At 44.5% G+C, this 25,912-nt stretch overlaps 1 annotated feature.

The window, feature by feature from the left end:
• Positions 1,029 to 1,323: a silencer, noted in NCBI's record as "tiled region #13438; K562 Repressive DNase matched - State 12:CtcfO". NCBI's record gives its function as "represses a minimal TATA promoter and a strong SV40 promoter by Sharpr-MPRA in K562 cells {active_cell/tissue: K562}" and the evidence as "EXISTENCE:reporter gene assay evidence [ECO:0000049][PMID:27701403]".

Below are 25,912 nucleotides of genomic sequence, written 5' to 3' on the forward strand. Positions count from 1 at the left end.
GCTCTCTTACCCAGGCTGGAGTGGCACAATCTCGGCTCACTGCAAGCTCCGCCTCCTGGGTTCACGCCATTCTCCTGCCTCAGCCTCCCAAGTAGCTGGGACTGCAGGCACCTGCCACCATGCCCGGCTAATATTTTGTATTTTTAGTAGAAACGGGGTTTTACTGTGTTAGCCAGGATGGTCTCGATCTCCTGACCTCGTGATCCGCTTGCCTCAGACTCCCAAAGTGCTGGGATTACAGGCGTGAGCCACTGTGCCCGGCCAACCCAGGCTGGTCTTAAACTCTTGGACTCAAGCAATCCTCCGGCCTCAACCTCCCAAGGTGCTGGGATTACAGACGTGAGCCACTGTGCCTGGCTAATTGTTTACTTTGAACCTATTACTCAAACCTAGGAAAATATAAGACCACAAGGTGAAAACCCAAAACAAACTGTGAGCCCAAATCATTCCAAACCTTTGTGAACTTACACACAGAATAAGCATGTGTCACTGTGTGTGTGTGTGTGTGTGTGTGTGTGTGTGTGTGTGTGCTGGGGCCTGGCATGTAACTGGGAATTCTCTGAATTAACTTCACGTCTTCTATGGTGTTTATTAAAGGCTAAGTAGTGCAAACCCACTAAGTAACAGCGTACACACTGCCTCACTTTGCTAGAGCTGCCTTTACAAAGTGCCACACACTAGGAAGCTCCAACAACAGAGACATATTGTCCCACAGCTCAGGAGGCCGGACCCCCAAAAGCAAGGCATGGGCAGGGCTGGTTCCTTCCCAAGGCTGTCAGGGAGAGTCCGTCCCTGGCTCTCTCATTTAGCTTACGATCGTTGGAGGGCAGCCTTGGGTGATCCCTTGGCTTCTAGAAGATTCACCCGATCTCTGCCTTCATCTTTGCATGTGCATCTCTGTCTCTGTGTCCAAATGTCCCCCTTGTAATGGGGTCACTGGTCATATTAGATTAGGGGCCACCCTAATGATTTCGTCTCACCTTGATCATCTGGAAAGACCCTGTTTCCAAACAAGTTCCCGTTCACACGCACTGGCGGTTAGGACTTGAACACTCAACCCATGACACCCACGCACACACGCCACCCATGTCACGTAACCACCACCCAGCCATTTAACTCTGTGTGTGTATGTGCCTGTGCATGTACAACACACACAAACACACACACACACACACACACACACACACACAGAGTTAAAATTCACCAGGGAGAGCAGCAGTTGTTTAGAGCAAAGACACCACAGCGCCCACACGTGCCTCGTTTGAGGTCCTGCAACCAGCTGGCCTGGGGAGCCGGTGACACCACCCACCCCCGTCTGCTCATGCAGCTTCCAGTGGGCTCTGTCACTTCCATCAAGAACAACACCCCAGGGCTACAGGAGCAACACCCCAGTGCCCACTGATATTCACTCTAAGGTCGTGGCATTTTTTCCGAGACCTAAAGCATTTTTAATTTCATGTTATTATTATTTTGAATGGGCTATTTCCCCCATGTTATTCTGATGGCTGTTGCTAATAGGCAGAAAAAAAAGTCTTTAGCTGGGCGCAGTGGCTCATGCCTGTAATCCCAGCACTTTGGGAGGCTGAGGTGGGTGGATTACTTGAGGTTAGGAGTTCAAGACTAGCCCGGCCAACATGGTGAAACCCCGTCTCTAGTAAAAATACAAAAATTAGTCGGGTGTGGTGTGGTGGTGGGCACCTGTAATCCCAGCTACTTGGGAGGCTGAGGCAGAAGAATCACTTGAACCTGGGAGGCAGAGGTTGCAGTGAGCCAAGATCGTGCCACTGCACTCCAGCCTGGGCAACAGAGCAAGACTCCTTCCCCAAAAATAAAAATTATTTTGAAATACATCTTTCTTTTAAAAGTTTGTTTGAATTTACATAGGTAAAAGTCAGCTTTTCTGGTGTGCAATTCTAAGAATCGGACAAATGTACAGAGTCACGCAACCACTGCCAAAATCAAGGTGCAGCTCCTCAAAAATAGCTCTCAGGTGCCGAGCCTCTGCAACCAGCCTTCCTTGAACCCCTTAGCCCGCCCTGTGCCCCTCCCAGTGCTGTTGGCTGCCCGGTCCAGCCACCCTGCGGCATCACCCAGACCCAGGACTCCTCCAGCGGGAACCTTCAGAGGTTCCTTCAGCTGGCGTCTGATTGATCCCAGTAGGTATGTGTGTCATTTTAATTGCTGAGTGGTATTCCTCGGTATGAAGGCATCACGGTTTCCTTATGCACCAGTTGAAGGCTGAGTTCCGTCTTCAGTAAATATGAACAAAACTATGAACTTGCAGGCATCGGTTTTTGTGTGAGCACAATTTTTCAGTTTTCTGGATAGATATCCATGATATTGAGGCAGGAGAATAGAGAATGAAGGTAACCAGGGGTTAAGGGAGAAGCAAAAGACCAGCAGGTGCAGCCAGTTCTAGGCAAGGTGAGGCAGCACACAGGCCGCCTTTAACCTGTGATAACAAGACAGACCCCTCTACTTCAGCCCCTGATTGACTGCGGGCCGAGCCTCCACTTCAGCCTCTGATTGGTCAAAGGCCAATCCTTCATAGGTGGGTAACCAATCGGAGACCTCTAAAGGGCACCGAGGGGGTGGTGCCAAGTTTTCTTGGCCTTATAAAAGCCCTGGGAGCCTTGCAATCAGGAGACTCTTGAGCCACATGCTGGGGCGTCTCTTGCTCCGTGAATTGTGCCTTTTCTCCTCCCCTGTCCTTTCTCTTGTCTTTCTTTGCTTCATTCTCTTGTTGCTTTGTGCGTGCATTTTGTTCCATTCTTTCTTCAACACGCCAAGACCCTGGACAACTCGCAGCCGAGACCTTCCATCCGGCCACCCGTGTTGGCGAGCAGGCCGGGAGGTAAGCCCGAATTTGGGGATGTGTTTTTTTCTTCTTTCTTTGTCGAAGCTGTCATCTGTGGGCGCGGGTTGAGCAGTGAAAAGCCACCAGGGCACCCGCCGCTTGAAGTCTCCGGTGACACGATAACTCGGTCAGGGAACGGGTCGTTCAGGTCCTGCCGAGCACAAGACACGTCCGCGCAACAGCCAGGGCGATGTTTGTGCTGCAGAATGTCTTTGCGGAGCCGAGAGCCCCCGTTCCGGTCGGTGTCTGTGTCCCTGTGCCGGAGGCGGTGGTGTGGAGTTACGTTTTTAGGGTCCTCTTCTGAGAGCGGGACAGGGGCCCCCCGTTTTATGTGTGAGTCTTTCTGCGTGAGAACCCGGAATTCTTCATGGTTCCGAGGGACGGATCCCTGACTTTGCTGTTAATAGTGTTAAGGTCTGTGGTGAGGTCCCGTGTCTCACGAGGGTTACCGGCTGAAGAAGCTTATTTCACTTGGGACGCAAATAGCTAAGCATTGCATCCCGGGACTAGGGGAATCACAGTAAATCAATCCATCGCCTACGGGGGACGCCTCCAAACCAGCGCCAGGGCCCACCCTGGGGTTCGGGATGTCTGACACCCTAAGGCTGGGGACGTCGCCTGACCCCCTGAGGTCAGAAACGTCTGCAATATGCAGGCCCTCCCTAGGCCAGACCACTATGGGAAACACCTTCCAGAATCCTGCAATCTGTAAAGCTTCTAAGACGGGCCCTCAAAAAAAAGTCCTGAGGCCGGGCGCGATGGCTCACACCTGTAATCCCAACACTTTGGGAGGCAGAGGCAGGTGATCACTTGAGGTCAGGGATTCAAGACCAGCTTGGCCAACATGGTGAAACCCCGTCTCTACTAAAAATACAAAAATTTAGCCAGGTGTTTGATGGCTCAAGCCTGTAATCCCGGCTACTCAGGAGGCTGAGGCCAGAGAATCACTTGAATTCGGGAGGTGGAGTTGCAGTGAGCCTAGATCGCGCCACTGCACTCCAGCCTGGGCAACTCGGTCTAAAGAGACTGAGTTTTAGACCTGAGACTTGTTCTTAAAAAAAAAAAAAAAAATCCTAAGACTGAGCTGGATGTTGTGGATGACCCCCTCTTACAAGGGCCACTTGTCTCTTGTCAAATCCTCCTCAGCCCCCCACATCCCCAGAGCGGATCACCCTCTTCCGCAGGTCCCATGGCACCGTCCCTCTCGGGAGGAGTGGGGTCCAGTCCAGTGCAAGTCTCATTTCCCACAACTGATACCCAACAATGTCAGGGAAAGTGGGGAAGGTACTCGGAGGACCCTGGCAGGTTTGTGGACAGGTTCCAAACCTTGGCTCACAGCTAACACCTTCCAGCCAGTAACAATGGGATTGCTAGCTCAGAAGGTCACTGTAGGTCTGAGAAACTGTGAAACTGTTTTCCAGAGTGGCCGTGCATGGGACGTTTCCTCCCGCCACCAAAAATGATTCTGTTTGCTCTAAATACTCACCAGCATTTCATGTTGCCCAAATTCTTTATGTAACCATTCTTTATTATCATTATTATTTTTAGAAACAGGGTACTCTGTGGCCCAGACTGGAGTGTGGTGGTTCAATCCCAGCTCACTACAGCCTCCAACCGCTGTTTGTTGCTAGTCTATAGACATATATATTTTTTTTTCACTTTTTACTTATTTTTTTGAGACAGACTCTGACTCTGTTGCCCAGGCTGGAGTGCAGTGGTGAGATCTTGGCTCACTGCAACCTCCGCCTCCCAGGTTCAAGTGATTCTCGTGCCTCAGCCTCCCAAGTAGCTGGGACTACAGCGCCACCACCACGCCTGTATAATTTTTGTATTTTTAGGTAGAGATGGGGTTTTATCATATTGGTCAGGCTGATCTCAAACTCCTGACCTCAGGTGATCTACCTGCCTCGGCCTTTCAAAGTGCTGGGATTACAGGCCTGAGCTACCGTGCCCGGCCAATTTTTGTATATTGACCTTATTTCCCATGACCTTGCTAAACTCATTTATTAGCTGGAGGAACATTTTTGGAGATTCTATGGGATTTTGTTTGTTTTAATTCAATTTGACAATCACTCTCTTTCAACTGGTGTACTTAAACTATTTACATTTGCTTTTTTTTTAGTTTTAAATTTTAAAAATAATTTTATTAAAAAAATTTTAGGCCAGCCACGGTGGCTCACACTTGTAATCCCAGCACTTTGGGAGGCCGAGGCAGGCAGATCACTTGAGGTCAGGAGTTTGAGACCAGCCTGGCCAACGTAGCGAAACCCCGTCTCTACTAAAAATACAAAAATGAGCTGAGTGTGGTGGTGGGTGCCTGTAATCCCAGCTTCTCAGGAGGCTGAGGCAGGAGAATCATTTGAACCCAGGAGGCAGAGGTCACAGTGAACCAAGATCGTGCCACTGCACTCCAGCCTGGGTGACAGAGCGAGACTCCAACTCAAAAAATAAAAAAATTAAAAAAATTTATATTGACAAATTATAATTATTTATGGGGTACAAAGTGATGTCATGATACACATATACAGTGTGGAATGATTGAATCAAGCTAATCAGTATATCCATCCCATCAAACACTTACCATGTATTCATCCTAACTGAAACTTTGTCCCCTTTTACCAATATCTCCCCATTTTCCCCACCTCCCCACGTGCGACAACCACCATTTTACTCTGCTTCTGAGTTTCGTTGTTTTAGATTCCACGTGGGAGCGAGAACATGCAGGGCGGGCGCGGTGGCTCACGCCTGTAATCCCAGCACTTTGGGAGGCCGAGGCGGGCGGATCACAAGGTCAGGAGATCGAGACCATCCTGGCTAACACGGTGAAACCCCGTCTCTACTAAAAATACAGAAAATTAGCTGGGTGTGGTGGCGGGAGCCTGTAGTCCCAGCTACTCGGGAGGCTGAGGCAGGAGAATGGCATGAACCCAGGAGGCGGAGCTTGCAGTGATCCAAGATTGGGCCACTGTACTCCAGCCTGGGTGACCGAGCGAGACTCCGTCTCAAAAAAAGGAGTGAGAACATGCAATATTTGTCTTTCTGTGCACAGCTTATTTCACTTGGCAAAATGTCCTCTGGGTTCATCCATGTTGTTACAAATGACAAAATTTCATGCTTTTTCAAGGCTGAACAGTATTCCATAGTAGTATACCACGTTTTCTTTATTCATTCAGCCACTGATGCACACCCAGTTTGATTCCATAACTTGACTATTGTAAATAATGTTCCAGTGGACATGAGAGGGCAGATATCTCTTCAACATACTGATTTCAAATCCTTAGGAGAGATATCCAGAAGTGGGATTGCTGGATCACATGGGCATTCTGTTTTTAGCTTTTTGAGGAAGCTGCATCATGTTTTCTATAATGGGTGTAGTAGTTTACATTCCCACGCAAGTATACAAGGGTTTCTTTTGCCCCACATTCTCACCAACCCTTGCCATCTTTCATCAATTTTTTTTTTTTTTTTTTGAGATAGTCTCACTCTGTCGCCCAGGCTGGAGTGCAGTGGCACAATTTTGGCTCATGGCAACCTCCGCCTCCCAGGTTCAAGCAATTCTCCTGCCTCAGCCTCCTGAGTAGCTGGGATGACAGGCATGTGCCACCACACCCAGCTAATTTTTTGTATTTTTAGTAGAGATGGGGTTTTGCCATGTTGGCCAGGCTGGTCTTGAACTCCTGGCCTCAAGTGATCCACCCACCTCAGCCTCCCCAGGTGCTGGGATTACAGGCGTGAGCCGCCGCACCTGGCCTCTTTCATCTTTTTGATATTAGCCATCCTAACAGACATGAGGTGGTATCTCATTGTAGTTTTGATTTGTACATTTCCCTAATGGCTTGTGATGATGAGCATGTTTTCATTACCTGTTGGTCATTTGCATGTATTCTTTAGAGAAATGTCTATTCAGGGCCTTTGCCCGAGTTGTTTGCTTACTGTTGAGTTGTTTGAGTTCCTTATGTATTTTGGATATTAAGCCCTTATTAGATGTGTGGCTTGCAGATATTTTTTCTCAATCTGTAAGATGTCTCTTCACTCTGTTAATTATTTCCTGTGCTGTGCAGAAGCTTTCCAGTTTGACATAATCCCTCCTGTTATTTTTGCTTTTGTTGCCTGAGCTTTTGGAATCAAATCCAAAATATCATTGCCCCGACCAATTGCCTGTGGTTTTCCCTAGTTTTCTTCTAGTAGCTTTACAGTTTGAGGTCTTACGTTAAGTCTCTAATCCATTTTGAGTTTTTTTTTTAATGTGGTATGAGATAAGGGTCCAATTTCATTCTTCTGTCTGTGAATACCCAGTTTCCTAAACTCTTTGTTACAGACACTGTCCTTTTCCCACTGTGTGTTCTTGGTAACTCTGCTGCAAATCAATTGAGCATCAATGCATGGGTTCATTTCTGGGCTCTGTACTCTTGTTTCATTGGCTGATGCGTCCATTTTTATGCTGGTAACATGCTGTTTTTATTTATTTATTTAGAGATGGAATCTTGCTCTACCGCCTAGGCTGGAGTGCAGTGGTGCGACCTCGGCTCCCTGTAACCTCCGCCTCCAGGGTTCAAGCAATTCTCCTGCTTCAGCCTCAGAAGTAGCTGGGATTACAGGCATGTGCCACCACACCCAGCTAATTTTTGCATTTTGAGTAGAGACGGGGTTTCACCATGTTGGCCAGGCTGGTCTGGAGCTCCTGACCTCAGGTAATCCACCCACCTCAGCCTCCCTTTGGGATTACAGGCATGAACCACCCCACCCGGACCAACATACTGTTTTAATTACTTTAGCTTTTGTAATATAGTTTGAAGTCAGGTAGTGTGATGCCTCCAGCTTTGTTCTTTTAGCTCAAGATTCCCTTGGCTGTGTGTGTGTGTGTGTGTGTGTGTGTGTGTGTGTGTGTGTGTGGTTTCATATGAATTTTAGGATTTTTTTTTCTATTTCTGTGAAATAGGACATTGGAATTTTGATAGGGATTGCACTGTATCTGTATACAACTTTGGGTAGTATGAACGTTTTAACAATATTTATTCTTCCAGTCCATGAACATGAAATCTCTCTCCATTTATTTGTGTTTTAATTTCTTTTATCAATGTCTTAGAGTTTTCAGTATACAGATATTTCTCCTGCTTGGTTAAATTTATTCCTAAGTATTTTCTTGTTTTGTGGCTATTGTAAATGGGGGACAGTTTTCTTGATAGTTTGTTGTTAGTGTGTAGGAATGCTACTGACTTTTGTGTGTTGATTTCGTATTCTGCAACTTTACCATAATCATTTATTATAAAAGTTTTTAAAGAATCATTTATGGCCAGGCGCAGTGGCTCACGCCTGTAATCCCAGCACTTTGGGAGGCCAAGGCGGGTGGATCACGAGGTCAGGAGTTCGAGACCAGCCTGCCCAACATGGTGAAACCCCATCTCTACTAAAAAAAAATACAAAAATTAGCCAGACATGGTGGCGGGCGCCTGTAGTCCCAGCTACTCTGCAGACTGAGGCAGGAGAATCGCTAGAACACAGGAGGCAGAGGTTGCAGTGAGCCAAGATCGTGCCACTGCGCTCCTGCCTGGGTGACTGAGTAAGACTCTGTCTCAAAAAAAAAAATTATATTTAATGTGATTATGAATATGGCTGAATTTAGAGCCTCCATTTTGTTTTTGTCATATCTGTTTTAAATTCATCTGTTGGATTATTTGAGTATTTTTTGTTTTCCACTGTATATATCTATTGGCTTTTTTGCTATATCTTCTTGTATTTTTTAATGGTTGCATTAAAGATTATAGTGTATATGGTGCAACTTTTCACGGTCTACATAGAGTAAATATTTTACCACTTCAGCTACATTTCGTAAGTGGAGAATTCTCTCCACCTTTATGTTAAGACTGTCATACATATTTATGTCTGCATACATTGAAAACCACCCAGGTAAATGTTACATTTTTTGCTATCAATAGTTATATGTATTCTAAAGAACTTAAGAAGAAACACTCTGTTATATTTACCCTGATATTTGTGTTTCTACTGGTTTTCCTTTATTCCTAAGTTCCAGTTTCCCTCTAGCATTACTTCCTTTCAGTCTGAAGAATTTCCTTTAGAATTTCATTAAAAGAAGGTCCACTGATAACAAATTCTCTTAATTTTCCTTCCTCTGAAAATATCTTCATTTCCCCTTCATTCCTGAAAGATATTTTTGCTGGACATAGAATTGTAGGTTGACAGTTCTTTAGGCACCTTAAGTATGTTGATTTTCTGTGTTTTCTGAGGATAAACCCAAAGTTACATGAGGTATTGTTTTTCCCACGGTTATCACGTCCTCCAGCTGCCCTCAAGGCTTCTTTATCTTTCTTTTTCAGCATTTTGATAATGATGTGCCTGGGCATTGTTTTCTTTGTGTTTATCCTATTTGGAATTTGCCGAGTTCTTGAATCGGCAAATTTATGTTTTCTACCAAATTTGGAAAAGTATGGCCACAATGTCTTCAAATATAATTTCCTGCTCCAATTACTTCTCTCCTTTTGGGATTTCAATGACAGGAACAATCGAGCTTATCGTTCCACAGGTTCCTGAGATTCTATTCCTTTTCCACCCAATCTTTTATACTCTCTGTTCTTCAGAGTGGACCGTTTATAGTGACCTGTCTTCAGGTTTCCCAAAGCCTCCTCTTTTCATCTCCATTCTAATATTGAGCCCATCCTATGAATTTTTTATTTTGGATAATGTGTTTTTTTTTTTTTTCAATTCTAAAATTTCCATTTAATTCTAGTTTCTCTCTCTCTGCAGAGAAATTCTATCCTTCCATTCACTTCCAGATTGTTCATCTTAACCTCATGAATTAAAAAAAGTTACCTGGGTTATTCTGGGACTGCTGTCTGTTGATTGTCTTTTTTCCTTAAGTATTGAAAAACTTTCCTTTTACTTTTTTCTTTTCTTTCTTTCTTTCTTTTTTTTTGAGACAGGGTCTCACTCTTAATTTTTTTGTATTTTTAGTAGAGACGGGGTTTCACCATGTTAGCCAGGATGGTCTCGATCTCATGACCTCGTGATCCGCCTGCCTTGGCCTCCCAAAGTGCTGGGATTACAGGTGTGATGCACCGCGCCCAGCCCAGAATACACATTTTTAAGCTGACTGCTTTATTGGGCTCTTATGAATTCTAATACTTTTTTTTTTTAAAGAAAGCTATTTGACATACAATAACATATAAAAATAGATATAAAAATCAGGGAGTTTAGGAACAGAACAAGTACCCGGGAACCTGTTATGCGCCTTGTACCATTCTTTTATCCCATGCTCTGGACCCCAGAGGTGACCACTAGTCTGAATTAATTTTTATTATCATGATATTGCTTTTCCTTATAATTATTCTAATGATACTACTTTTAGGTACATCCATAAATAGTGTTTACTTGTTAATTTTAATTATACATAAAAATGGTGTCGGTGTATGTATTCTGTTTTTTTGCACCTTGCTTTTTTTTTTTTTTTTTTTTTTTTTTTTTTAAATAAGCTGGGTCTTTGTTGCCCAGGCTAGAGTGCAGTGGTGCAGTCATGGCTCACTGCAGCCTCAAACTCCTTGGCTCAAGTCATCATCCTGCCTCAGCCATCCAAATAACTGAGATTACAGATGCACGCACCACCATGCTCAGCTAATTCTTTTTATTTTTGTTGAGATGTGGTCTTGTTATGTTGCCCAGGCTGATCTTGAACTCCTGGACTCAAGCCATCTTCCCATCTCAGCCTCCCAAAGCACTGGGATTACAGACGTGAGCCACTGTGCCTGGCCCTTACGACTTGTTTTTTATTCAAAATTATTTGAAGATTCATCTACTGGTGGGCATGGCTGTAGTTCTTTAATCTCCAGTTCTGTGTTGTGCTTCATTGTATGAATATACATCCATATATTTATTCATCTGTTACATGGAAATCGAGTTTTTTCTGGTGGTTTGATCTTGTGAACCATGATGTAGTGGTCTGTCCTGTCCTGGAGCTCTGGTGCAGAAGTTTGTCTCGGGCCTGTACCTAGGAGCGGAATTGCTGGGCCAAAGGGTATCACATCATCGGCATGGCTAGATCATTTGAAATTCATTTTCAGAACAGCCATCAGTGCACGAGAGTCTCTGCCAACCAACATCCTTGCTAACACTGGACATCATTAGACGTGATCATTGTTGTCAGTCTAGTCTATACAAAATGGTGCCCTGTTAAAGTTTTCATTTCCATTTCTTGTAATACTTTTTTTTTTTTTTGAGATGGAGTCTCACTCTATTGCCCAGGCTGGAGTGCAATGGTACCATCTCAGCTCACTGCAATCTCTGCCTCCCAGGTTCAAGCAATTCTCCTGCCTCAGCCTCCCGAGTAACTGGGATTACAGGCGTGCACCACCACGCCTGGCTAATTTTTCTATTTTTAGTAGAGACGGGGTTTCACCATGTTGGCCAGGCTGGTCTTGAACTCCCGACCTCCTAATCCGCCTGCCTCAGCCTCCCAAAGTGCTAGGGTAACAGGCATGAGCCACCACGCCTGGCCATTTGTTGGAATACTTTGAGATGGACCATCGTTGGCCATTTGTGTGTTGTTTCCAGTGAAAGCCTATTCATGCCTTTATCCATCTTTCCATCAGGTTGTCATTTTTCTCTTTTGGATTTTAGGAAGTCTTCATTCTAGACGCTAACCCTTTGTCAGTTAGGTGCATGCTGGAATTGTCTTCTCTGAGTGTGCGTCCTCTGTTTTCACCTTCTTTGTGTTGACTTTTGATAAACAGACATGCTCATTGTGATTATAGTTGCAGATAGTACTTTCTCTCTTTGTGGTGTGAGTCTTCTGCGTCACACTGTGCTTTTTGTATCTTGTGCTCTTTGTATCTCATGTTTGTACCTTGATTTCTGTTTTTTGATATGAAGTGATGGTTGAATACCATTCCTGCTCCCCTCCCCACGGGGATAACCAGTTGCCCAAGCACCATTTATCGAATGTCCGTTTCCTCCTGCTGATTTATGGCACCCCCTTTGCCATGCATCGAGTTTATATAGTCACACGTGCCTCTCTGAGCTCTCAGTCTATCCTGTCCCTTTGACTAGAATGACATAACTCCTTTAGTTACTACAGATTTACAATATGCCCTATGACCTGGGAGGCGAAGTCCCTCCTAGCTTCTTCAAGAGCGTTTTGACTGTTCTTGACTCTGCTCTAAATTCTAGAATCAGTTCATCAAGCTTCATGAAAATCCTGTGTGTTCTTCCAGAAGTCATCGCTGCTATACCATGTGGCTGAGGTTTGGGGTTAAGGAAGTTGTCTTCCCTTTGCTATGCATTTTTATTATGGATACATAGATATTATGTTTTTTTAAATGTTTTTCCTGGCCAGGTGCAGTGCCTCACGCCTATAATTGTAGCACTTTGGGAAGCCGAGGCAGGAGGATCACTTTAGTTCAGGAGTTTGAGACCAGCCTGAGCAACACTGTCTGACCAGTCAGACGTTGGAGACCCTGTCTCCAGTGAAAGTTTAAAAAATACTAGCCAAGCATGGTGGTTGCACACCTGTGATTCCAGATACTTGGGAAGCTGAGGAGGGAGGATCGCTTGAGCCTGGGAAGTCAAGCCTGCAGTGAGCTGTGATTGCACCACTGCACTCCAGCCTGGGTGACACAGAGAGCCCTTGTCTCAAAAAATAAAAACAAAATTAAAAAAGCATTTTTCCTATGCTAGCGAGATGACCAGAGATGTTCCTTCCTTATTCTGTTACTATGGAGAATGTATAAATGTATTTCCTAATGTTAAGGCACCGTTTCAATCCAGGGATAAACTTGATTTGGTCATAATGTGTTACAGATACAGGCACACACATAAAGAGATCATGCTATCACATTATAACCAAATTATATAGATAAAGCACATTATGGGCCAGGCACAGTGGCTCACACCTATAATCCCAGCACTTTGGGAGGCCAAGGCGGGAGGATCGCTTGAGGCCAGGAGTTTGAAACCAGCCTGGGGGCAACATAGCAAGATCCCATCTCTACAAAAAATAAAAAAAAATTAGCCAGGTGTGGTGGCATGCACCTGTAGTCCCAGCTACTTGGGAGGCTGAGGTGGGAGGATCACTTGAGCCCAGGAGTTCAAGGCTGCAGTGAGCTATGATTGTGTCACTGCACTCCAGCCTGGGCAACAGAGTGAGACACTGTTTTTTAGAAAAGCATTATGACCAAATGTATACACAGTCGTGCGCCGCGTAGAAACATTTTGGTCAGTGACTAACTGCACATCCGACAGGGGTCTCATGAGAGATTGTAGTGGATCTGAAGATTCCCTGTCGCCTGGTGCTGTGGTGGCCATCGTCACGTCACCGTGCAGTACGTTACTCGTGTGTGTATGTGTGTGTACGCACCCGTGATGCTGGGGTAAACAAGCCCTCTGCACCACCAGTCATAGGAAAGTCTAGCACATACAATTACGTCCAGTGCACAGTACTTGCAAATGATGATAAACCACTGTGTCACTAGTTCATGTATATACTATCCTATACTTTTTTTTTTTTTTTTTTTTTTGAGATGGAGTCTCACTCTGTCGCCCAGGCTGGAGTGCAGTGGCGCGATCTCGGCTCACTGCAAGCTCTGCCTCCCGGGTTCACGCTATTCTCCCGCCTCAGCCTCCCGAGTAGCTGAGACTACAGGCGCCTGCCACCGCGCCCTGCTAATCTTTTGTGTTTTTAGTAGAGATGGGGTTTCACTGTGTTAGCCAGGATGGTATCGATCTCCTGACCTCATGATCCGCCCGCCTCGGCCTCCCAAAGTGCTGGGATTACAAGCGTGAGCCGCCACACCCGGCCAACTTTTTTATCATGATCTTAGAGTATACTACTACTGATTAAAAACAAAAACAAAGTAACTATAAAGCAGCCTCAGGCAGGTCCTTCAGGAGGGATTGCTGAAGCCCTCCATTGGGACAGGATATGGAGGGGAAGTCAGTGATATTGGCGATCCTGACCCCGTGTAGGCCTAGGCTAATACTGGGCTAATATGTGTGTTTCTGTTTGTAACAAAAAATTTTTTAAGTAGAAAAAAGGGTACAGTGGGTCATGCCTGTAATCCCAGCACTTTGGGAGGCCGAGGCAGGAGGATAACCTGAGGTCAGGAGTTCAAGACCAGCCTGGACAACATGGTGAAACCCCGTCTCTACTAAAAATACAAAAATTAGCCAGGCATAGTGGCATGTGCCTGTAATCCTAGCTTCCCAGGAGGCTGAGGCAGGAGAATTGCTTGAACCTGGGAGGCGGAGGTTGCAGTGAGCTGAGATCGTGCCACTGCACTCCAGCCTGGATGACACAGCGAGACTCCATCAAAAAAAAAAAAAAAAAAAAAAGGTAGAAAAAAGTTTCAAAAATACTAGGTTGGTGCAAAAGTAATTGCAGTTTTTGCCATTAAAAGTAATGGGATTAAAAAGTAATGGTATTATTTTTGCACCAACCTTAATAGAAAAAAACTTACTTACAAAATAAAGAAAGAAAATATTTTTGTACAGCTGTACAACGTGTTTGTGTTTTAAGCTAAGTATTACCAAAAAGTAAAAATTTTTTTAAAGTTTACAAAGTAACAGTAAGCTAAGGTTACTTTATTATTGAAGAAAAAATATTTTTAATAAACAGAGTATAGCTTAAGTATACAGTGTTTATAAAGTCTTCAGTAGGCCAGGAAGGGTGGCTCACACCTATAATCCCAGCATTTTGGGAGGCCGAGGCAGTTGGATCACAAGAAGTCAGGAGTTCGAGACCAGCTTGGCCAACATGGCAAAACCCCATCTCTACTAAAAATACAAAAATTAGCAGGGTTTGATGGTGCACGCCTGTAGTCCCAGCTACTCAGGAGGCTGAGGCAGAAGAATCGCTTGAACCTGGGAAATAGAGGTTGCAGTGAGCCGAGATGGTGCCACTACACTCCAGCCTAGGCGACAGAGCGAGACCCTGTCTCAAAAAAATAGTCTCCAGTGGTGCACAGTAACGTCCCAGGCCTTCACACTCACTCACCCTCTCTCACCGACTCACCCAGAGCAACTTCCACTCCCGCAAGCTCCGTTCGTGCTAAGTGCCATATCAGGTACGCCACTTTAAAGTCACTGATCCTGTGTTTTCACGGCACCTTCTCTGTGTTTAGATGTGTTGAGACATACAGACATACAGTATTGTGCTGCAGTTGCCTGCAGCGTTCAGTGCTGTCACCTGCTGTGCACATTTGGAGCCCTGGAGCCCAGGAGCCACAGGCCACACCGTACAGCCTGGCCATGGGGTAGGCTCTGCCATCTTAGAGTACACTACTGGATCTGTGGAAGGTCACTTACACGTGACGAAATCGTCCAACAACATGCGTGCAGACAAACAGATATGGTGCTATAACATTATAGCAATATGCATATAATATTCTACGCATGTCTCAGAATGTATCCCCAGGGTTGAGCATTGCTTGACGGTACATATAACACTATTGAGGTAGGAGGTGGGAGTCAACTCCAGACCTGATTGAAGACTAGCTAAAACACAGAAGAGGCACTGAAAGCTCTTCTCCCTAAGACAGGCCCACCAGCGCCGCAACAGTTTAGCATTGCCATGGCAACACCCGAAAGTTACCACCCCTTTTCATGGCAGTGACCTGGAAGTTATCATCCCTTTTCTAGAAATTTCTAAATAACTTGCCCTTTAACTTACGTATATTTGAAAGTGAAGTTTGGGCGTAGTGGCTCACAGCTGTAATCCCAGCACTTTGGGAGGACAAGGAGGGCGGATCACTTGAGGTCAGGAGTTTGGCACCAGCCTGGCCAACATGGTGAAACCCTGTCTCCACTAAAAATACAAAAATTAGCCGGGTGTGGTGGCGGGCACCTGTAATCCCGGCTACTCGGGAGGGTGAGGCAGGAGAATCGCTTGAACCCAGGAGGTGGAGGTTGCAGTGAGCCAAGATAGCACCACTGCACTCCAGCCTGGGTGACAGAGCGAGACTCTGTCTCAAAAAAAAAAAAAGAAAGAAAGAAAGTGGGTGTAGGTATGATTGCAGAACTCCTCCCAAGTTGTTACTCTGGACACACTGCCCGCGGGGTGGCCCTGCCCTGTGGGAACAGCCATGGGGCTGTAACCCCGCCACCTCAGTAAAGCTGCCTCATTCTACCCCACTGCCAGCTTTCCCTTGTAGTCTGTCCTAGGCGAAGCTAAGAACCCTCACCAGCTAAGCCCTACTCTGGGGCTCGCCTGTCCCACATCACTGCTAGATGGTTTGATTTTTGTTGTTGTTGTTTCAGAGATTTTGTGTATATGCTTATTAAAGAGAGTGTCATTAACTTCACTTCTCTTACCACCCTTGTCTATCGGGCACAAGGATTTTCTAATCATCAGAGAATCTGCTCGGGAGCACTCCCTTTGGCTGTCTTTCCTGGAAGACTTTGAATAAGATGGAAATCATCTGTGCCTGGAATGCTTTGCTAGAACTTGCTCACAAAACAAGCTGAGCCTCGTTTTTGTATTGTGAGAAGATTTCTAAAATACTGATTAAATCTTTGTTGTTGTTTATAGTGCGATTCAGGATGTCTCTTCTGAGTCTGTTTTGGGAATTTGTATTTTCCTGGGAATGTGTCCATTTCATCTAATTATCAAATTTATTTGCAAAAAGATGTTCATAATATTCCCTTTTTCTTTTTTTTTTTTTTTCAGATGGAGTCTCACTGTGTCACCCAGGCTGGAGTGCAGTGGTGCAATCTCGGCTCACTGCAACCTCCACCTCCCAGATTCAAGTGATTCTCCTGTCTCAGCCTCTCAAGTAGCTGGGGTTACAGGCAAGTGCCACCAAGCCCAGCTAATTTTTTTTTTTTTTTTTTTTTTGAGACAGAGTCTTGCTCTGTTGCCCAGGCTGGAGTACAGTGGCGGGATCTCGGCTCACTGCAAGCACCACCTCCTGAGTTCATGCCATTCTCCTGCCTCAGCCTCCCGAGTGGCTGGGACTATAGGTGCCTGACACCACGCCCAGCTGATTTTTTATATTTTTAGTAGAGACAGGATTTCACCATATGGGTCAGGCTGGTCTCGAACTCCTGACCTCTGGTGATCTGCCCCCCCCCCCCCCCGCTCAGCCTCCCAAAGTGCTGGGATTACAGGCGTGAGCCACTGCGCCCAGCCCATAATATTCCCTTATTAACTTTTCAGCCTCTACTCTCCTGTGTAGTAATGTTCATTTTCTCTATCCCAATAGTTCTTGTGTTTTCTATTTTTTAAAAAAATTGATTAGTCTTGCTAGAGGTTTAGTTCAGCTATATTAGTTCTTCCAAAAAATCAACTCTATAATTCCTCCCCATTGTATTTTTATTTTCTATTTTATTAATTTCTGGTTGCCTTTATTATCTTCCTTTCATTTTCTTTGGAATTATTTTCCTGTTCTAACTTTTTAAGTTGGGTACTTATTAATTTTTAGGGGATTTTCTTCTAATATATGCGTTTATGACTACAAAGTACTTATCACCATATGGTGTTACAATTCATGATCATTTTTGGTATTTTCACTATTTAGTCTTAAGTATTTCTGAATTTCCATTATGAGACTTTTTTACCCGTGGGTAATTAGAAATATGTTTTTAAATTTCTAGATTTATTAAGATTTTTAGGCTTTAGGTTTCTTTCATTGTTATTGACTTCTAAACTACTTGGCGTTGTGCTCAGAGAATGCTGTTACTATGGTACCAGTCCTTCCAGGTCTATTTAGGTTTGATTGATGGCTGAATATGTAGTCAGTTCTATAATGTTTCTTGGGCCCTGGAGAAGAAAGCATATTCTCCGGTTATTGTATACAGAATCCTATAAATATCTTGCGGATCAAGTTTGTTACTTTGTCGCTCAGATCTTCTAAATCCTTACTGATTTTTATTTGCTTGTTCTATCAATTACTGAAGGAGGCGTGTTAAAATCTCCCTGTGTGCTGCTGGATTGATCAGTTTCTTCTTGTAGCCATTTCTTGTGTAATTTGCTTTCTTTATAAAATTTAAAGTTACCCTAATAGGTACATACACGTTCAGAATTCTTCTGTAGTTCTCCTGAGTCAGCGCCATATTGTGACCTCTTTATCCCTGGCAATGCTTTTTGCATTTTGATCAGAATATTATTTTCCTGGCTGGGCACAGTGGCTCACGCCTGTAATCCCAGCACTTTGGGAGGCCGAGGTGGGTGGATCACCTGATGAGGTTGGGAGTTCGAGACCAGCCTGACCAACGTGGAGAAACCCCGTCTCTACTAAAAATACAAAATTAGCCGGGCTTGGTGGTGCATGCCGGTAATCCTAGTGACTCGGGAGGCTGAGGCAGGAGAATCACTTGAACCCGGGGGTGGAGGTTGCAGTGAGCCGAGATTGTGCCACTGCACTCCAGACTAGGCAACAAGAGCAAACTCCGTCTCCAAAAAAAAAAAAAAAACAAAAACAAAAAGAATATTTTTCATTCTTTTTTCAACCAATCCCTGTACTGTATTTTTTCATTCACCCAATCCCTGTACTGTATTTTTCAACCAATCCCTGTACTGTGTTTTTCAACCAATCCTGTACTGTATTTCAGTCTCACACAAAAAAAAGAATATTTTCATTCTTTTTTCAACCAATCCCTGTACTGTATTTTTTCATTCAACCAATCCCTGTACTGTATTTTTTCAACCAATCCCTGTACTGTATTTTTTCATTCAACCAATCCCTGTACTGTATTTTTCAACCAATCCCTGTACTGTGTTTTTCAACCAATCCTGTACTGTATTTCAGTCTCCAAAAAAAAAAGAATATTTTTCATTCTTTTTTCAACCAATCCCTGTACCATATTTTTTCATTCAACCAATCTCTGTACTGTATTTTTTCATTCAACCAATCCCTGTACTGTATTTTTTCGTTCTTTTTTCAACCAATCCCTGTACTAACATTTTAGGAGTGTCTTTTTTGTTTTTTATTTTTATTATTTATTATTTTATTTTTATTTTTTTGAGACAGAGTCTTGCTCTGTCACCCAGGCTAGAGGGCAGTGGTGCAGTCGCGGCTCACTGCAACCTCCACCTCTCAGGTTCAAGCAATTCTCCTGCCTCAGCCTCCTGAGTAGCTGGGACTACAGGCACCTGCCACTACACCCAACTAATATTTTGTATTTTTAGTAGAGATGGGGTTTCACCATGTTGGCCAGGCTGGTCTCGAACTCCTGACCTCAGGTGATCCACCTGCCTCGGCTGGGATTATAGGCATGAGCCACCACGCCTGGCCGTGGGCATACAATTTTAGAGCTTTTCTTTAACAGTTTTTTTCTGTCTAAACTTGGAAGATAGTTGTTCCTGTTCCTTTTTTGCTTCTTTTATGTGTGATAGGAAGTCGTAGGTGGTCTGTTTGTTGTAGTGTATGGGTGACCTGTATGTTCTCTGGTGCAGCTTTTAAGCCCTGTGTGTCATGTTCTGCAGTTCCACTATGAGGCACCTCTGAATGGATTTCTACTCTTCCTGCTTGGATTCATCTGGGTTTCCTTATCTGAAAGACTATGTCTTTCATTCATTCTAGGAAATCCTTTGCCATTATCCCTCCTGACAGTGCTTCTCTCCTATTCTGTGCAGAATTTCTTTCTGCAGCACCAATTAGCCCTGTGCCGGACCTTCTCCCCTGACCTTCTGTGTCTCAGAGCCTGTCTTTTCACCTCTGATTTTCTTGGTGCTACATTCCCTGTAATATCAACTTCCAGTCTACTAATTCTCCCTTCAGCTGTGTCAGTCTGTGTTCAGCCCTTGTGCTGCAGTCTGTGGATTTTCCGCAGGTCTACCTTCTAGTCTGCCAATTTTTTCTTTTTCTTTTTCTTTTTCTTTTTTTTTTTTTTTTTTTTTTCGAGACAGAGTCTCACTCTGTTGCCCAGGCTGGAGTGCAGTGGCTCAATCTCAGCTCAATCTCAACCTCCATCTCCCGGGTTCAAGTGATTCTCCTGCCTCAACCTTCGAAGTAGCTGGGATTACAGATATGTGCCACCATGTCTGGCTAATTTTTATATTTTTAGTAGTGACAACGTTTTGCCATGTTGGCCAGGCTGATCTCTACCTCCTGATCTCAGGTGATCCACCTGCCTCGACTTCCCAAAGTGCTGGGATTACAGGTGTGAGCCACTGTACCCGGCCCCAATTTTCTAATTCTCTGTTTAGCTGTATTTATCTGCTGTCTAATCTTCCCAGTGATTTAAGATTTATTCATGACTATATTTGTTTTACTTTGTTTCTTTCCTAGTTTTTAAATTCTCTTACTATGTTTTCATTTCCCTATTTCAGGTCTTTAAAAATATTAAACGTTGTGTTTTATATGCTGTTTTCATTAAGACCAATATCCCAGGTCTTTCTGGGCCAAGTTCTATTTGTTATTTGGGCTGATCTTTTACATGGTGTCTTGCTTTCTGGTAGTTTTTTTATTAAAATCATATTATTGTACATATTATATGTAAATATATATTTGAACTTGACCTTGGACATTCTCTAAGGCCTGGGTTGAGGCATATTCCTCCAGAGGAAAATGTGTTTGTTTTGGGCAGGTTCCTGAGGCACTACAAATCCACATTAAATTACAATTCTCAGTTGGGCACGGTGGCTCACGCCTGTAATCCCAACATTTTGGGAGGCCGAGGCAGGCAGATCACCTGAGGTCAGGAGTTCAAGACCAGCCCGGCCAACATGGTGAAACCCCATCTCTACTAAAAATATAAAAATTAGCTGGGTATGGCGGCGGGCACCTGTAATCCCAGCTACTCAGGAGGCTGAGGCAGGAGAATTGCTTGAACCTGGGAGGCAGAGGTTGCAGTGAGCCAAGATTGCACCACTGCACTCCAGCCGGGGTGATAAAGCGAGACTCCATCTCCAAAAAATAAATAAATAAAATTAATTACAATTCTCACCTTGTCATTTTGGGGTCATGCAAAGAGCAGAAGATTTAGGAGCCAAGCCCGTGGCAGGGCTGGTCAGTGCTGCACATTCTCTCGGGATTTAAGAAATAAACTTGCCTGGTACTAAGGTTAAGACAGTTTCCCTGCCGACTAAGGCTCAGGATGTTTCCTAGTTCGCCTTTTCCTGAAGGGGGCAGCCATTCCAGAATGCTGGCTTCAGGCTGGGTGCTCTCTGACCCCTTCCCAGTGTGGTCCCCAGGCTTGGTGCCCCGTCCCTCTTAGGACAGAGTCGCCGTGTCAGAGCCACCTTCGCTCCCCGAGTATCTGCTGGCTTCAGCCCCTCTCCTGCCTCTTGGACTCTGGCTGTCATTTTGTCCATGGACTCCCAGAATTTCTTTTGGTTGCTTGCAGGTTCATTCTGGCAATGTAATTTAGGTGTTTTGCAGGGAGTAATTGCAGGGTCTCTAGTCCAGAGCTCTCAACCTTAGCTTATATCCGAGTCCTTGTTAGCAGAGCTTGTTAGCAGAGGTTCCCAGCACCCCCTCCAGAGTTTTGGACCAAGACAGGCTGGGGCAGGCCTGAGAATCTGCATGTCTCAGGAGCTCTCGGGTGATGCTGGTACTGCCGGTGCATGGGCCACACGTTGGGGGCATCTGCCCCTTTTTCCTCTACAGCACCTGGCGGGCACAGGCGCTCTCATCAGGCACGGAGGAGCGCCACATTGGGGGTGTTCAATTAATCTGGTGTATCTGCCTCGAAAGCCACCTTCACAGTGACTCAGATTTTAGCATGTGTGAGCATCACCTGGACAGCTTCTTAAAACACACAGTGGCCGGGCGCGGTGGCTCGCATCTATAATCCCAGCACGTTGGGAGGCCAAGGTGGGCGGATCATTTGAGGTCACGAGTTCGAGACCAGCCTTGCCAAAATAGTGAAACCCCGTCTCTACTGAAAATAGAAAAATTCACTGGATGAGATGGCTCATGCCTGTAATCCCAGCCACTTGGGAGGCTGAGGCAGGAGAATTGCTTGAACCCAGGAGGCGGAGTTTGCAGCAAGTGGAGTTTGTATCACTGCACTCCAGCCTGGGTGACTCTGTCTCAAAAAATAAAATAAAATAAAAACACATAGCGTACTTGCCATCAGACTGTTAATATTAGTTACAAAGAATCAACTTAGAGTTTCTACGTGTCACTAATAAACTATTATTCACATAAATTCTGTTTTTATGTATTGCTTCCTCCTGCTTTCTTGACATGTGTCTTGATGTCTTTAACCCACTAGCTTCATTTCTGCTTGTTAAATAATGAAAACATTTAATCCTATGTATTTTTTTTTCATAGTCTTAGCTGGATCTAAGTTTAAACAGCGATTATTTTCTCCATCGTTACAGAGTTTAAGTGCAGTTTTTATTTCCTCTTTGACCCAAGACTCATTTAGCAGAATGCTTTACACGTGCAACTGAATCATAAAATGCTTCTTAATTTCAAGTTATAATGCATTGCTGTTTGAGAAAATGCTCCACTCAATTTTTTTTTTTTGCATCTCAATGTATTGTCAGTCTTTCTGTCACATAGACACTCAAAAGTTATATTCTCTGCTTGAATAAAAAATAATTTGAACATATATTTATCTCTTAAGTATATCTCTTTTACAACATTTAGATTTTCTCCGATTTTTCCCTCCTTGAGCGAGCCTTATGATTCTCCAGAATCCTGCCTGGAGAGTTCACAGACCATGACACAGGGAGGGGGACCCCGGCTGAGCTGCTGGACTCACAGAGCTGAGGAAATGGAGCTGAGGGTCCAGGGAGATAAGGACGGATGGAGAGAACAAAGCAGAATCCTGGGGAGGAGGGAGCTGCAGAGAGAGCTGGAGCTTTGTAGAGGCTCCTCCTCACCCACTCCGGAAAGCGATTCGTGGACTTTAATGCACCTAACAGCAGAGTTTCAAAATACACTAAGCTGGCCGGGCGTGGTGGCTCACGCCTGTCATCCCAGCACTTTGGGAGGCCAAGGTGGGTGGACCACCTGAGGTCAGGAGTTTGAGACCAGCCAGGCCAACATGGCAAAACCCTGTCTCTACTAAAAATACAAAAAATTAGCCGAGCATCGTGGTGCTTGTCTATAGTCCCAGCTACTCAGGAGGCTGAGGCATGATATATCCTTGTACCCAGGAGGTGGAGGTTGCAGTGAGCCAAGATTGAGTCACTGCACGCCAGCCTGGGTGACAGCGAGACTCTGTCTCAAAAAGCAAAAACAAAACAAAATCCCCCCAAAAAAATACACGAAGCAAAACCCAACAGAATGGTAAAGAGACGTAGAGAAATCGATGACAGTGATTTCAACACTGCCCTCTCAATGACCAATCAGACAGGCACACAGAAAACCACTAAGAGCTCACAAGATCGGGACATCACCACTGGCCACCTCGATGGACTTGATATTTACAGAATGTTCAACCCAGCAACAGGAGAATGAGTTCTTTTAAGTTGCACGTGGAATATTCACGAAGGTAGACCCTATTTAGGGCCATAAACAAGTCTCAATAAACTTGAAAAGATTCAAATCATACAAAGTGTGTTCTCTCACCTCAATCGAATTAAGTTAAAACCAGTAACAGAGGCTGGGCATGGTGGCTCACGCCTGTAATCCCAGCACTTTGGGAGGCCAAGGCGGGTGGATCACCTGAGGTCAGGAGTTCGAGACCAGCCTGATCAACATGGTGAAACCCTGTCTCTACTAAAAGTACAAAAATCAGCTGGGCATGGTGGCAGGCACCTGTAATCCCAGCTACTCAGGAGGCTGAGGCACGAGAATCACTTCAACCCGGGAGGCGGAGGTTGCGGTGAGCCAAGATTGCGTCACTGCCCTCCAGCCTGGGTGACAAGAGCAAAACTCCATCTCAAAAACAAACAAGCAGTAACAAAGATTTCTAGAGAATACCCAAATATTTGGGGACAAAAATAAACACTTCTAAGCAATCCACAGGTCAAAGAAGAAATCAAAAAGGGAAATTAGTAAGGAGTTTGAAGTGAATGATGATAGAAACACAACATAGCAGAATTTTTGAAATGCTGCCAAAGTGGTACACAGGAGGGAATTTAGAACACTGAATACTGGCCGAGCGCAGTGGCTCACACCTATAATCACAGCACTTTGGGAGGCCAAGGTGGGGGGATCACTTGAGGCCAGGAGTTCGAGACTGGCCTGGGCAACATAGTGAGGCCCTGTTTCTACAAAAAACAACCAAAAAAAAAAAACTCCCCAAAAAATGAGCTGGGCGTGGTAGTGCACACCTGTAGTCCAAGCTACTCACAAGGCTGAGATGGGAGGATCACCTTAGCTTGGGGAGTTTGAAGCTGCAGTGACCTGTGACTGTGTCCCTGCAATCCAGCCTGGGTGACAGAGTGAGACCCTGTCTCAAAAACAAAAAATGCTAATGAGATGGAATAAGCAAATTAATATAAATAAGTGATGAATATAGAAAAGGAAAGAAGTAAAAATGGAACATAGAACGTTTCAGACAAGGCCAGACAAGGTGGCTCACACCTGTAATCCCAGCACTTTGTGAGGCCGAGGCGTGCAGATCACTTGAGGTCAGGAGTTTGAGACCAGCCTGGCCAACATGGTGAAACCCCATCTCTACTAAAAATACAAAAATTAGCTGGACATGGTGGCACGTGCCTGTAATTCCAGCTACTCGGGAGGCTGAGACAGGAGAATCGCTTGAACCCGGGAGGCAGAGGTTGCAGTGAGCCGAGATCACGCCACTGCACTCTAGCCTGGGTGACAGAGCAAGACTCTGTCTCAAAAAAAAAAAAAGTATCAGACAAATATAAAATATATAAATACATAATGTGATGTATTTAAACTTATCTATAGTAATTATATTAAATATAAACTGACTAAACACTTCAAATAGAAGGTAAAAATTGGATGAAAAAGACTGAAGTATAAGCTATTTAAAAGAAACATTTAAATATACACTGAACTCAAAACTTTAGAAAAGGAATAGCAAATTTCATTGATTTTTGAAATCATCATTTTTTTTTTTTTAAGATGGCGTTTCATTCTTGTTGCCCAGGCTGGAGTGCAATGGCACGATCTTGGCTCACTGCAACCTCTGCCTCCCAGGTTCAAGCAATCCTCCTGCCTCAGCCTCCCAAGCAGCTGGAATTACAGGTGCATGCCACCACCATGCCCAGCTAATTTTGTATTTTTAGTAGAGATGGGGTTTCTCCATGTTGGTCAGGCTGGTCTCGAACTCCTGACCTCGGGTGATCCATCCGCCTCAGCCTCCCAAAGTGCTGGGATTACAGGCATGAGCCACTGTGCCTGGCTGAAATAATCATTTTTTTCTATCTAAAAATGATTGCAAAAATCAATGACATAAAAGGAACATATACAAGAGAAATTTAATAAAACCAAAAGATGCTTCTTTTAAAAATATTAATAAAATTAACAAATCTCTGGAAAAACTGATCATAGAGAAGAGAAAGATAAACAATGTGCTGACATCAGAAATGAAAAAAGACATCAGATCTTAAAATCAGTAAAAGGATCATTAGAAATTATTATGGGCCAGGCATGGTGGTGGCTCCCACCTGTAATCCAGCCCTTTGGGAGGCCAAGGCAGGAGGATTACTTGAACCTAGGAGTTTGAGACCAGCCTGGGCAACATAGTGAGGCCTTGTCTTTACAAAATTAAAAATTACCCAAGTCTGATGTCATGTGCCTGTCGTCCCAGCTACTTGGGAGGCTGAGGCAGAGGCTTGCCTGAGCCCAGGAGGTCAAGGCTGCAGTGAGCTATGATCCTGCCATGTCACTGTACTCCAGGCTGGGAGACAGAGTGAGACCTTGTCTCAAAAAAATTATGAACAACCTTATGCCATTGCAGTAGACAATTTAGAGAAAACAAAAATTTACTTGAAAAACACATCTTATTGAAACTGACACAAAAAGAAATAGAAAATCTGAATAGACATATATTTGTTAAGGAAACTGAATATAAATTTAAAACCGGCCGGGTGCAGTGGCTCACGCCTATAATCCCAGCACTTTGGGAGGCCGAGACAGGCAGATCATGAGGGCAGGAGATGGAGACCATCCTGGCTAATACGGTGAAACCCCGTCTCTACTAAAAATACAAAAAATTAGCCAGGCGTGGTGGTAGGTG

This window comes from Homo sapiens, chromosome 7 (assembly GCF_000001405.40).
Source record: "Homo sapiens chromosome 7, GRCh38.p14 Primary Assembly".
NCBI lineage: Eukaryota > Metazoa > Chordata > Mammalia > Primates > Hominidae > Homo > Homo sapiens.